Source organism: Homo sapiens, chromosome 4, assembly GCF_000001405.40.
Source record: "Homo sapiens chromosome 4, GRCh38.p14 Primary Assembly".
Classification (NCBI taxonomy): Eukaryota; Metazoa; Chordata; class Mammalia; order Primates; family Hominidae; genus Homo; species Homo sapiens.
The window spans coordinates 122,507,723-122,522,334 of record NC_000004.12 but is presented as its reverse complement, the minus strand read 5'-3'; positions in this window follow the sequence as shown (position 1 = coordinate 122,522,334).

Below are 14,612 nucleotides of genomic sequence, written 5' to 3'. Positions count from 1 at the left end.
TCGGGAGGCAGAGGCAGGAGAATCCCTTGAACCAGGGAGTTGGAGGTTGCAGTGGGCCAAGAATCACGCCACAGCACTCTAGCCTGACGACAGAACGAGACTCTGTCTCAAAAAAAAAAAAAAAAAAAAGGAAATTGAAAAATTTCTTGAAATCAATCATAAATGGAAACACAATATACCAAAACCTATGGGATACAGCAAAAGCAGTACTAAGAGGGAAGTTTATAGCTATAAGTGATGACATCAAAAAAGATGAAAAACTTCAATAAACAATCTAATGATGCTTTTTTTTTTTTTTTTTTTTGAGACAGAGTCTCGCTCTGTCACCCAGGCTAGAGTGCAGTGGCGCAATCTTGGCTCACTTCAAGCTCTGCCTCCTGGGTTCATGCCATTCTCCTGTCTCAGCCTCCGAAGTAGCTGGAACTACAGGCGCCCGCCACCACGCCTGGCTAGTTTTTTGTATTTTTAGTAGAGACGGGGTTTCACTGTGTTAGCCAGGATGGTCTCGATCTCCTGACCTCGTGATCCGCCCACCTCAGCCTCCCAAAGTGCTGGGATTACAGGTATGAGCCACCGCGCCTGGCCTGATGCTTCTTAAAGAACTGGAAAAGCTAGAGCAAACCAAGCCCAAAATTAGTAGAAGAAAAGCAATAACAAAGATCAGAGCAGAAATAAATAATATTGAAATGAAAAAAGGATCAATGAAACAAAATGTTGTTTTTTTGAAAAGTTAAACAAATTGACAAACCTTTAACCAGCCTAAGAAAAGAAGAGAGAAGATCCAAATAAATAAAATCAGAAATTAAAAAGGAGACATTACAACTGATAATGCAGATTTTAAAAGGATCGTTAGTGGCTACTGAGCAACTATATGCCAATAAATTAGAAAATTTAGAAGAAATGGACAAATTCCTAGTTACATAAAACCTACCAAGATTGAACCAGGAAGAAATCTAAGACCTAAACAGACCAGTAAGAATTAATGGGCAAGGGATGGTGGTTCATGCCTGTAATCCTAGCACTTTGGGAAGCCAAGGAGGGCTGATTGCTTGAGCTCAGGAGTTTGAGACCAGCCTGGGTAACATGGGTGAAACCTCGTCTCTACAAAAAAATACAAAAAATTAGCTGGGCATGGTGGCACATGCCTGTAGTCTCAGCTACTTGGGGGGCTGAGGCAGCAGGATAGTTTGAACCTGGGAGGTCAAGGCTGCAGTGAGCGAAGATTGCACCACTGCACTCCACCTTGGGTGAAAAAGTGAGACCCTGTCTCAAAAAAAAAAAAAAAAAAAATAGGAGTAATGAGATTGAAGCCATAATAAAATGTCCTCCAGTAAAGAAAAGCCCAGGACGTGGACCTGATGGCTTCACTGCTGAATTCTACCAAATATTTAAAGAAGAACTAATACCAATTCTACTCAAACTATTCTGAAAAGTAGAGGAGAAAGGAATACTTCCAAACTCATTCTATGACGCCAGTATTACCCTTATGCCAAAACCAGACAAAGACACATCAAAAAAGGAAAACTGCAGGACAATATCTCTGATGAATATTGATGCAAAAAATCCTCAACAAAATACTACAAACAAAATTCAACAATACATTAGAAAGATCATTCATCATGACAAAGTGAGATTTATCCCTGGGATACAAGAATGGCTCAACATACACCAATCAATCAATGTGATACATCATATCAACAGAATTAAGGATAAAAACCACATGATCATTTTAATTGATGCTGAAAAGCATTTGATAAAATTCAACACCCCTTCAAGACAAAACCCTCAAAAAAACTGGGTATAGAATGAACATACCTCAACATAATATAAGCCATATATGACAGACCCACAGCTAGTATCATACTGAATGGGGGAATGTTGAAAGCCTTTCCATTAAGATCTGGAACACAACAAGGGTGCCCACTGTCACCACTGTTATTCAATGTATTAATACTACTAGAATTCCTAGCTAGAGCAATCAGAAAGGTATAAAGGGCATCCAAATTGGAAAGGAAGAAGTCAAATTATCCTGATTTACTCATGATATGATCTTATATTTAGAAAAAGCTAAAGACTCCACGAGAAAACTATTAGAACTGATAAACAGATTCAGTAAAATTGCAGGATACAAATCAACAAACAAAAATCAGTAGCATTTCTGTATGCCAACTGTGAACAATGTGAAAAAGAAATAAAATAGTAATACCGTTTACAGTAGCAACACATAAAATTAAATACCTAGGAATTAACCAAAGAGTTGAAAGATGTCTATAATTAAAACTATAAAACATTGATGAAAGAAATTGAAGAGGACATAAAAAATGCAAAAAATTCCATGTTTATATTTGAAAAAAATCAATAGTGTTAAAATGTGCATACCACCCAAAGCAATCTACAGATTCAATGCAATCCCTGCCAAAATACCAATGACATTCTTCACAGAAATAGAAAAACAACTAAAAAATTTATGTGGAACTGCAAAAGACCCAGAATAGCCAAAGCTATCCTAAGTAAAAAGAATAAAACTGGAGAAATCACATTACCTGACTTCAAATTATACTGCAGAGCTGCAGTAACCAAAACACCATGGTACTGGCATAAAAACAGACACACAGACCAATGGAACAGAGTGGAGACCCCAGAAATAAATCCACACACCTACAGTGAATTCATTTTTGACAAAGGTTCCAAGAACATACACTGGGGAAAAAGATAGTCTCTTCAATAAATGATGCTAGGAAGACTGGATATCCATATGCAAAAGAATGAACCTAGACCTCTTAGTCCATTTTCATGCTGCTAATAAGGACATACCTGAGACTGGGCAATTTACAAAATAAAGAGGTTTAAAGAACTTACAGTTCCTTGTGGCTGGGGAAGCCTCACAATCATAATAGAAGGCAAAGAGGAGCAAGTTACATCTTACACGGATGGTGGCAGGCAAAGAGAGAGAGCTTGTGCAGGGAAACTCCACCTTATGAAGCCATCAGATCTCGTGAGATTTATTCACTATCACGAGAACAGCATGAGAAAGACCTGCCCCCATGATTCAATTACCTCCCACCGGGTTTCTCCCACAACATGTGGGAATTCAAGATGAGATTTCAATGGGGACACAGCCAAACCATATCAAATCTCTTGCCATATACAAAAATCAAATAAGAATGTATTAAAGACTTAAATCTAAGACCTTAAACTATGAAACTACTAAAAGAAAACATTGGGGCAACTCTCCAGGACATTGGACTGGGCAAAGACTTATTGAGCCATAACCCACAAGCACAGGCAACCAAAGCAAACATGGACAAATGTAATCACATTAAGTTACAAAGCTTCTGCACAGTATATAAAACAACCAACAAAGTGAAGAGACAATCCACAGAATGGGAGAAAATATTTGCAAACTACCCCTATGATAAGAGATTAATAACTAGAATACATAAGGAACTAAAATCTACAGGAAAGAAGTCCAATAATCCAATGAAAAGATGGGCAAAAGATTTGAATAGACATTTCTCAAAAGAAGACATAAAATGGCAAACAGGCATATGAAGAAGTGCTCAACACCGCTGATCATCACAGAAATGCAAATCAAAACTACAATCATCTCATCCTAGTTAAAATGGCTTATATCCAAAAGACAGGCAATAACAAATGCTGGCCTGGATGTGGAGAACAGGGAACTCTTGTACACTGTTGGTGGGAACGTAAATTAGTACAGCCATTATGGAGAAAAGTTTGGAGGTTCCTCAAAAAACTAAAAATTGAGCTACCATATAATCCAGCCATCCTACTGCTGGGTATACATCCCACAGAAAGGAAATCAGTATGAGGAAGAGATTTGCTCTCCTATGTTTGTTGTAGCACTGTTTACAATAGCTAAGATTTGGAAGCAATCTAAGTGTCCATCAACAGATGAATAGAAAGGAAAATGTGGTACATACATACAGTGGTGTACTATTTATGCATAAAAGAAAATGCGATTCAGTTATTTGTGACAACATCAATGGAACTGAAGATCATTATGTTAAGTGAAATAAGCCAGGACAGAAAGATAGACATCACATGTTCTCACTTATTTGTGGGATCTAAAAATCAAATCAATTGAAGTCATTGACATAGAGAGTAGAAATATGGTTACCAGAGGCTTGGAAGGATAGTGGGGAGTTGAGGGGGAGGTGGGGATGGTTAATGGATAAAAAAAAAAAAAAATAGAATAAGACCTACTATTTGATAGCACAGTAGGGTGACCATAGTCAATAATAACTGAGTTGCATATTTAAAAATAACTTAAAGAATATAATTGGATTGTTTGTAACACAAAGGATAAATGCTTGAAGGGATGAATACCCCATTTTCCATGATATGCTAATTTCACATTGCATGCCTGTATCAAAACATCTCATGTACCCTGTAAATATATACAACTGCAATGTACTCACAAAAATAAAAAAATTAGCTCCCATATTTTAAATCAATGAAAAAGGAATGGATTCATTCAATAAAATGATGTGGAGAAATTTGGGGAAAAAGGGTTTTAGTCAAGTAAAATTATTCTAAAAGTAACAATACAAGTGTAAGTGACCTAGGATCTTTCCTCTTACACAGGACTGGTGGAGTGTAATTTATACCTCTCTCCAAACTTAAATCTTTCATTTTTTTGAGGACTTAAGAAAAAAAAGTTAATTTAGAGACCTAATTTTCATTAAAAGCTCATTGCCCAAATCTCCCTCCTTCCCACAATAATTTTTCTCATTTCCTCTAATGTCAACCTTTAAATCACTTAGTCATCAGAAAACAACATTCATATGGCCCTTAAAGTTATCAGAACACTAGTTCCTCAAATTATCAGTAATTTCTTAGTTTATTTTGAAAGAACTGTAGCTTTTTTTTTTTTATCATTAAAGCCCAAGTAGTATGAGGTCCAGCTTAGTGGACCGTCCTCAGAGATGCAAATAAATCCACTAGTCTTCCTCTTGAAAACTGTTTCCTCAATGGCTAGTAAGTAGAAGGAAGAATGAAAACAATAAAGATAAGAACAGAAATCAACAAAATATAAAAAATATAAACTGTAGATAAATGAAATCAAAAGTTGATTCTTTGAAAAATCAATAAAATTAATAAACCTCTAGCTTACAATGATCAAGACAAAAAATAAAGAAAATCTAAATTACCAAGTCAGGGATGAAAAAGGAGATACCAACACAGATCTTACAGCTATTAAAAGGGTAATCAGGAAATGTTACAAACAATTTTATGCCAAAAAATTTGACAATCAATCAAATAAAATGGACAAATTCTTTAAAAGACACAAATCACTAAAAGGTTTGCAAGAAAAAACAGGGAACTAAATAATTCCATATCTAGTAAAGAAATTCAATTCATAATTATCAGCCTTTTCATAAAGAAAATTCCCGGCTCAATTTCTTCACTGGAGAATTATATTAAACAATGAATAAAATATCTTTCAGAAAATTGAGGAAGAGGGAATACTTCCAAACTCATTTTATAAGGCCAAGTGTGACATGTTTTTGAGAAAATATATGCTATGCTCCTGTTTATTGGTAATATACAAAAGGTTGCTCACTGAGTTTTCTCACATGCTACTTGGAATTGAATTTATCTGAACGTCACCCCATTCTCTATGGCAGAATTCTGAGAATTTTTTTTCACTGAGATACACATGCCAGATGATGTACCTGTTCATCATATACTCTCATGGGCTTTCCTAAGGTATGTTCAACTCCTGGTGCTCTCATTGTAACCTGCTCTTTCTCTCCCTCACCCTCCTGATCAAGGGGATGTCTACTGAGAGAATCATACAGAGATAACCATCTTTTAAGAAACATACAGATCATTTTTAGTGATTATTAGTGTTGTTTGAGCAAAGTACAGTATTTAAGTACTTAGGCTCTGGTGTTCTTAAACAATCCAGTTTATGTCACTTCCTAATTATAAGTTTGGACAAACATCTTCACCTCTCCTGCTTCACTTTATAAAATATAGATGATAATGATATCCACCAAATTTGGTTGTGTGAAAATTAAATGAATTTATCTTTTGTACCATCAGTGAAAATCACTGAGATAAAAGTGTCTAAGCATGTACTAAACATTCAAAAAATGGTAGCTAGTAGCAATAGCTACTTATGACTATTATTATTTAAAAACTATTATTAACTAATGACTTCATTTATCTGTATTCCACTGGTATTCAATTCAATTCAACACTATGAATAAAAACTATTACTCTAAAAGAAAGGTAGAAACTATGTATTTTGAATTTGCTGCAATTCTATTTTCTTTGCAAAAGCCGAAAATCTAAGTCATGTGTATAGTTCAAGTATCATCCTTATCAAGGTCTATTCCATTTTTACAAGTTAGATCTTTATTTTAATTTTTATCAAGAGCTGTAGGATTCTGAGTTCTTATTTTAAGGTTAATCCGAAGTTTTTGACTGGTTTTACTTTCAAAAGGCAGGGTAAGTTAAAAATTGGAAAATATCAGAACTTGTGTCTCAGAACTATTGATAGGGATGAGTTTAGGTGGTGGTAGGTGGGAGAGCTCCAGAATGAGGTAAGACAGTGTGGGTGTAAACAACAAGTTCTTTAAGTGGGTGTCTGTCTTTTTCATGTACTTGTTTTCTTCCCTAGCATGGGTTCTCAGTTATGCAGAAGATGTTTAGTAACAACACCCATTTTGTGCATATAATCACGTATCTACCTTCTTTTCTTAGCAGCAGCTTCATTCTTCAGGCCTCCTGGGCTAGAAATCCTAGTCTGGCCTTTCTTACATCTCCTTTAGCATTCCATTTCCCACTATATTCTCTAGTTGTGTCCTCTAGTTTATGCTGGACCCCACTATGTGCATAAATGGTTTTTATTGGTTTCAAAAATTTATTGAAGTTATCTGTTTATAAATCTATCTCCCCAACAGACGAATAACTTCTCCACGGTGGCACTGTCTTCATCTTTCTACCCCCAGTTCTAAGCACAGCACCCAGCACAGCACGATTTCAGTGTGCAGTAAGACACTCCTGCTCTTCAGCCTTCTCTCACAGGCTTCTCACACTTCCCTGTCTGTGGACCTGGGGGCCGCAGAGAGCCCAAGAGAGCTGACAGGCCTCCGGAGCACAGCCTACAGCCACTCAGCACAAGAATGTCATTTCACTGAAGTATAAAGTTTTATCATATTTGATATAAAATAATATCTTCAATTACTTATAAGAAAGTTACCATTTCCCATAATCTTCAAGTACAATTTATGCTCTGTGAATATTTTGGTGTGTGAATACGAGGGGAGTGTACATCTCAGTTTGAGAAGCACAGCTCCATTTCATGCACTGTGTATCTGTTAGGTGACTGTCTTACACATGTGTTAATTATGCTTTTCTTTGCTTAATAATCTACAAAACTTCCATGCATCCCCTGCATCAAGCTCAAACTCCCCAGTCGAGTTTGTATGTGCTTGCTGCCTCATTTCTTCCTGCCCCAGGGGAAACATACCACTCCAACTAATCTGTCTGCTCACTGTCTCTCATACCATGCTCAATTTTATCTCCAGAACTTTGTACTAATTCTCTAAAATGCCACATCGTCTTTATTGTGTTTTTCTTAATATTTTGAAGACCAACTCACACAACTCTTCTGTTAACAAAAGTTTTACACCAACTTAGAGTTTTTCACTTTCTCTAAAATCCCGTTAAAACAATTCATTACAATTTCTCATTGTTTCAAGAATTTCCTTTACCTTTTCAGCTACTTTTAAAGTAAGGAACATGTATCTCCCACATGGGGTGGGGTAGATACTAGACAAATGAAAGAGTATTAGCAATCTTCCAGACTTCTTGGGTCACTTGATCCAACCTTGTATAGTAATACACTCATTGATTTACCAAACATAAATTGAGTATTTATGATTTTTAAGTCACTATGTATAACATTATTCACACTTATATATAGTATGTAAGTTATATATTATATATAATACATATATTTTTGAGACAGGGTCTTGCTCGGTCACCCAGGCTGGAGTGCAGTGTTGCAATCACTGCTCACTGCAGCCTCAACCTCCTGGTCTCCATCCATCCTCCCACCTCAGTCTCCTGAGTAACTGGGACTACAGGCGTACACCACCACAACCAGCTAATTTTTGTATTTTTTGTAGAGACAAGATTTTGCCATGTTGCCCAGGCTGGGCTCAAACTCCGGGGCTCAAGCAATCTGTCTACCTCAGACTCCGAAAGTGCTGGGATTACAGGTGTGAGCTCCTGCGCCCAGCCCACACTAATATTTTTGAAAACATTATTAACCTTGTCTGAACATTTGTCATGACAAAAGCTTAGTTCCTCACAAGGAGGCTTGTTTTATTTTTGGACAACTATGAAAGTTCTCCTTTATGATGATCTGAATAAGTTTTTCTGACCTTAGTTCTCCTTCTGGAACAATTCTGAATACATTTAAATCTCTTCTATATAACAGCACTTTGATGTCCATCTTACTTCATTTTTTCATAATTCTATCCCCAGTTGACATTAAAATCCTCATCTTCTGTTCCTCCTCTGTAGATCCCTATGGAAACTCCATAATTTCTAGACATTCCTTCATCTTAATTGTTTCCTCTGAACACTCTTGAGTTTGTGACAGTCCCTTTGTAACCAAACACAGATCACTGAAATATTACTGGTGAAAGTATATGTTGATTAATCAGAGCATTTCAACATTTTAGCCTAGAGACCAGTGTCTCAAATGATATACAGGCATGTTTTAATTTTTATATCACCAAGCCAAAATCAAGCTGTTGACAACGATCAAATCTCAAACTATTCCTTTATTATAAATAAATGAATAACAAAACTTCATTGTGTTCATTGGAACACATGGAAATTAATATGTAGTAGAATTTCTGTTTGTATTGGTGACTAGTGGCCAAGCATATTCCAGATTTAGAACAGCTGGCATTGTCTGTTCTGAAAACATGAATGAAAGGAAGAGTGAACTCACAACAATCACAGAGTCTGTGCTCTGCTGTTCCTTGGCGTAGAACAACGGGTCCCAGTCTCATTCTGGGTTCACATTATTAAACACTAGATTTGGTTTAGCCCTAGGTAGTAGCACTGAAGGCAACATTAGATTTGTGAGTTGGTATACCAGGAAAATGGATTTCCTTTCATCATATGAAAGAACCTGCCCTTAATTGCCTTTTGATGAGGTAAACTTAACATCAGGACAAATTATCTGTCAGAATTCCGGTCTTCTCCACTTTTTACCAGACACATTTAGCTAATGTACAAGTATCAAGATAATTAGTTGACTAGCTTTTAGGGACTTGTGAAATAAACGCTGCATTTATCAGCTCTCAGGAAGGAAAGTACCACAGTATCCTAGAAGCTGATGCTTTAAAATGTGCTTGAATAATAAAAATCCAAAGAGGAATGTTAAGACATTTTAGTCCTATTGCTGACAGAGATTAACTTTGTTGTCCTGGACAAGATTCTTGATTATTCTATGACTTCATTTACCTAAATGTTAAATAGTTATAAAAATCAATTATTCTCTCTCCCTCAGTTGCTTGATAGCAAATTAAAATCTGAAAAATCCCCAAAACTGAAAAGGAAAAGTGACAGAAAGTACCTAATAGTCAAAAAAGGAAGAAGGGAATTACTGAAGCACCTGACACCATGAAGCCATCATGACTCAATGAGCAGAGAAAATCAATGAGTCAAAAATGAACCATTTTTCACCTGAATAGACTTTCTCTGCTCTGCAAGCTTTATTGTCTCATCAATTTTGACTCCTATGGAAGGTTGTTGGACATATCACATGGTGAGGGTAAATACACTATGACCCCATCCTCATCTTGCCTATTGATCTGCATCCCAAGGTAGCTTCAAAAGAGGATGAGGGCTTGGCATTTATCCTTTGAAATGTGGCCACTGGATTGATTTTACAAAAATTGCTTTACTTCTAACCTTAAGAAGATCCCGAAGTGGCAGCCCCGTTAGTGTAATGGGGGACATATTTCTCTTCTTGAGTAAGTTTTTGCATCTCAATGTTGTCATTATAAAATGAGAATAACAATAGCACCTAACTTATTACAATTGTAATGCTTAAGAAATAAGCCTAAATGATACAATAAACATCTCTTAAAACCATGTCTTATGTTAATGACATATTATTGATAGTGTTAGTGACAATAAATGATACCTATTATTAGTTTTAAATGATCATAGTCTCAACTTCAACTTGCACGTGAATACTCATAATTTCTAATTACCGATCAGCCCTTGTTACCAAACATTGCACTGTCGCAGGCCCTGTGCCTCTCCCTCCAAAATCTGCTCAGAGTTGTAACCCTCTCTTTACTGAGTTCAATGTGGCTGCCCCAGCATACCTCCCACAATTCTGCCCTGACCATGCCCCTTTCTCTCTGTTCCAGCCTCGCAGCACTATTCACACTCCCTCTCTCACTCTCCCCATCATCTGCAGTGGCACACAATGACATGTGCCATACCATGTCTATGCGTTTTTCCATCCTGTTTTCCAAGCCTGAAATGCCATTTACTTGGCACTAACCAAATCCTACCCATTCATCATGGCCTTCAATTCCTAAAGAAAAGCACCTTTAGAACTTTATCTTCTTGAGCTAAAACACATCTTGTCTATGTCAATTAGGTACTTAATTACAGCATCTTTATTTGTATTTTCTTTTGTTCTTTGAATGAAAATTTAATTTTTTCAACCAAACTGGGGACTTCCTAAGTGTAAAGACTATGTTTATTGGTTCTCGGATTCTTCTAGGTCCCATTGAATCCATTAGTAAATCACAGACAAACTGGGAATTTGACTTGAATAGAATCTCCACTTGAGTCAGTTCTTTCTGAAACAACCCTAGAACATGCCACAAAGATGGCTGTGGTGGCAGCGGTGGCTCATGCCTGTAATCCCAGCACTTTGGGAGGCTGAGGAGGGCAGATCACCTGAGGTCAGGAGTTCAAGACCAGCCTGGCCAACATGGTGAAACCCTGTCTCTATGAAAATACAAAAATTAGCCAGGCATGGTGGTGGGCAGGTGCCTGTAATCTGAGCTACTCAGGAGGCTGAGGCAGGAGAATTGCTCGAACCCAGGAGGCAAAGGTTGCAGTCAGCTGAGATCGTGCCACTGCACTCCAGCCTAGGTAAGAGAGACTCTGTCTCAAAAAAACAAACAACAACAACAACAACAACAACAACAACAACAAAAAGATGACTGGGAGTGGTAGATATCACATTTATAATTCCCTAAAACTCCTCATAATAGCTACACTTAATGATTTATTTCATTGGCCAGACCCCCATACAAGCCCAAAACACAATGTTCCTCCAAATGTATTATTACCTCCATTTTGCAGATGGGAAAACAGAGAGAGGTTAAGTAATCTTCCTCAAGAGATAAAGCTAAAACGTTATTATCTTCAAGAGGGTCGCTGCACAATTTTTCCTGCATTTAATTACGCACTATATGTACTCCTTTTATCCATCAGTAATATGGCCTGTTTAATTTTTTAATAGAAACAGTATAGTCTTGCTTAATTTCTTTTTTTTTTTTTTTTGAGATGGAGTCTCGCTCTGTTGCCCAGGCTGGAGTGCAGTGGCACGATCTCGGCTCACTGCAAATTACACCTCCCGGGTTCACACCATTCTCCTGCCTCAGCTTCCCGAGTAGCTGGGACTACAGGCGCCTGCCACCACGCCTGGCTAAGTTTTTGGATTTTTAGTAGAGACGGGGTTTCACCGTGTTAGCCAGGATGGTCTTCATCTCCTGACCTCATGATCCGCCTGCCTCGGCCTCTTAAGTCTTGTTTAATTTCTTATGTGGAATCTTTGTAACTAGAAGTCACAAACCAGCAGCCCATGGCTAAATCTGGCTATCACATTTATTTTATTTGGCTTATTCTTTAAAATTATATTTAAAAAGCAGACATTTCCAAACAGAAGTTTTCATATGAAAACCTGGATTTCTAGCTTTTATGAAATGATGCAAGTTAGATCAAATATGTAAATATGAAAAAAAACCATTCAAGTACCAGAAGAAAGCCATGAGTTGCTATTTGCATACTCTTGGGAGATAAAATATCTTTCTAATACATGAAGTCCAAAATCTGTAAAAAACTTTTTACATAAAAATTTAAAAATATAAATAGCAAAAGAGACAGAAAAAGAGAGTGAGAAGAAGGAAAGGGAGGAGGAGAAGTAAGAGGAGGAAGCCTAAAGACAAATTAGAAAAAAAAATTCATAGTATATATAGTAGACAAATGCTCAAATATCCCTAATATACAAGAAAACTCAGTAAAATCCATAAGAATGATTAAATTCCCAATAGAAAAAGTAGACTTAAGAATTCGTAGACAAAAAACGCAAGTTCCAAATAAACATATAAAATGACATTTTAACTCCCTAACAATGAAAAAAATTCATAGGCAGCAAAGCGAGACCCTGTCACTACAAAAAAATCTAAAATTTAGCTGGGCATGGTGGAGTCCCCCTATAGTCTCAGCTACTCAGAAGGCTGAGGCAGGAGGATGGCTTGAGCCCAGGAGTTTGAGGCTGTAGCAAGCCATGATCACACCACTGCACTCCAACTTAGGCAGTAGAGTGAGACTCTGTCTCAAAAAAAAAAAAAAAAAAGAAAAAAAGAAAAAAATTCAAATCAAAATAACAAGACACAATTTTTGCCCATCTTATCAGCAACTGTTAAAAACATCAATAATATCCAGTGTTGGGAAAGGTGTAGGAGAACAGACACTCTTATACATGATGGTGGAAATATAAAATGGTACAACCTTTTTGTAGGGCATTTGACAATAGCCACTTATAATTTTTAATATGCCTTTTTAAAAAATCTGATGATTCCACTTCCAGGGATTTGGTTTACACATTGCAAAAATGTGTGCATAAAAGTATTTGTTGTAGAATATTTGTAATAATGAAAGCTTAAAAACAAATTTAAATGTTCAAGACAATAGAAATACTTAATAAATTATGGTATAGCCATATGAGATACTAAGGAGTCATGGAAAAAAGTATATAGCATATTATTAGATGAGATATATGTGTGTATTTTATAATCCCATTTAAAAATAATTATATATTAATATGTGGGAAAAATCTAGAATACACATAAACCATTAACAGCAATCTTCTCTGATTGGACTCTTTTATATATGCTTATACATATATAAGCCTTACATACATACATTGCCTTGCTTGAATTTTTAACTAGGATATATTTCTTTTTGTCCTACAAATAAAATGACCCAACCATATAGATATTTTATGATTCCTTTAGTATCTGCTTCCTCCTTACTGCTTCTAGGGAGCTATTCCAGGAGACTGTATTCTAGACCATCTAGAGCACAGATTCTATTACTTTCTCTATTTTGCCCTCCATCCAAGGACCCCATTCACTTACATAGTGAATCAAGCAGACAGGTGGGGAAGAAGGTGTCTCTAGTCTTATACACTCAACCTTCACTTAGTCTTCTTGGGCAAATTGCTTAATGGTTTTTCTGTTTGTTTGTTTATAAAATGGCCATAGTAATATCTAATTATGAGGGTGGCTATAAGGATTAAATGAGAATATAAATGCCTGGCATATGGTAAGTACCTGCTAAGTGTTAGTTGCTGTTATCATCACTATTGCTATTAACTGTGCCTCCTAGGGTTAGGACTGTGCCTATGCTATTCACTATTTTATTGAGTTCAGTTTTATATGTAAATGGATGCCTGAAAAATATGTCTTGGTAGTTATGGCCACATACCCCCGAATGATTCCTGTTAGAATGACCAGTGAGTATTATAATATTTTTCAGTTTGGAGACTCTGCTTTTACAGGCTGACTCTAAGAAACCTTGAACAGGTTCACTCAATTGAAGACTTTATACAATGAAATGCTAGAATTGCCCAGGACTGAATTAGCAATGCTCTGGAAATGAAGGACTGAAACACAGAAATGCAAAAGTTCCTCTCTCTGCAGACAGGGCAGGGTAGAGAAGTAGAGAGGAAGAAACCATGTTTGCATAATCCCCAACCCAATCTTCCTTTCAGTTTACTCATCGAGATTTCACTACAGATAAAAAGTAGACCTGTATTTACTGACTAACCAAAAAGAAATTTTTTTCTTTCATCTTTTCAGGTTTGAAATCTTAGAAAGTTTTTGTAGTTTGATAATTCTTATCACAAGAACCTCTAAGAAAGATACAAACAACCCCACTTAATAAGCCTCTTAAGAATTTGATTTAAAAAAAATCTCTTCATGATTGTGTGTATGAGATGATTCTTTGCCTGAGTAAAAAGACGTGTTACCAGGAAAAAAGATTGTTTTTGAGTATGGGCAGGGGATTCCTGATATGATCAAATTGTTACACTATGTTTTCTTGGGTTTGTCATTTAAGAAGGAATTTCATTTCCTTCACAGTGAATTTCGTTGCCTTTGTTGATTGCTTTCAATCTTAATGCCATTAAAATTTGAGCTTTTTAAAAAAATACAATTTCTGCATATGGAAAAACAAATTGCTTGCTCGTTCTCATTTTCGGTGATGGAAGGTATGACTGCAATCACTGTGATGCGCACACC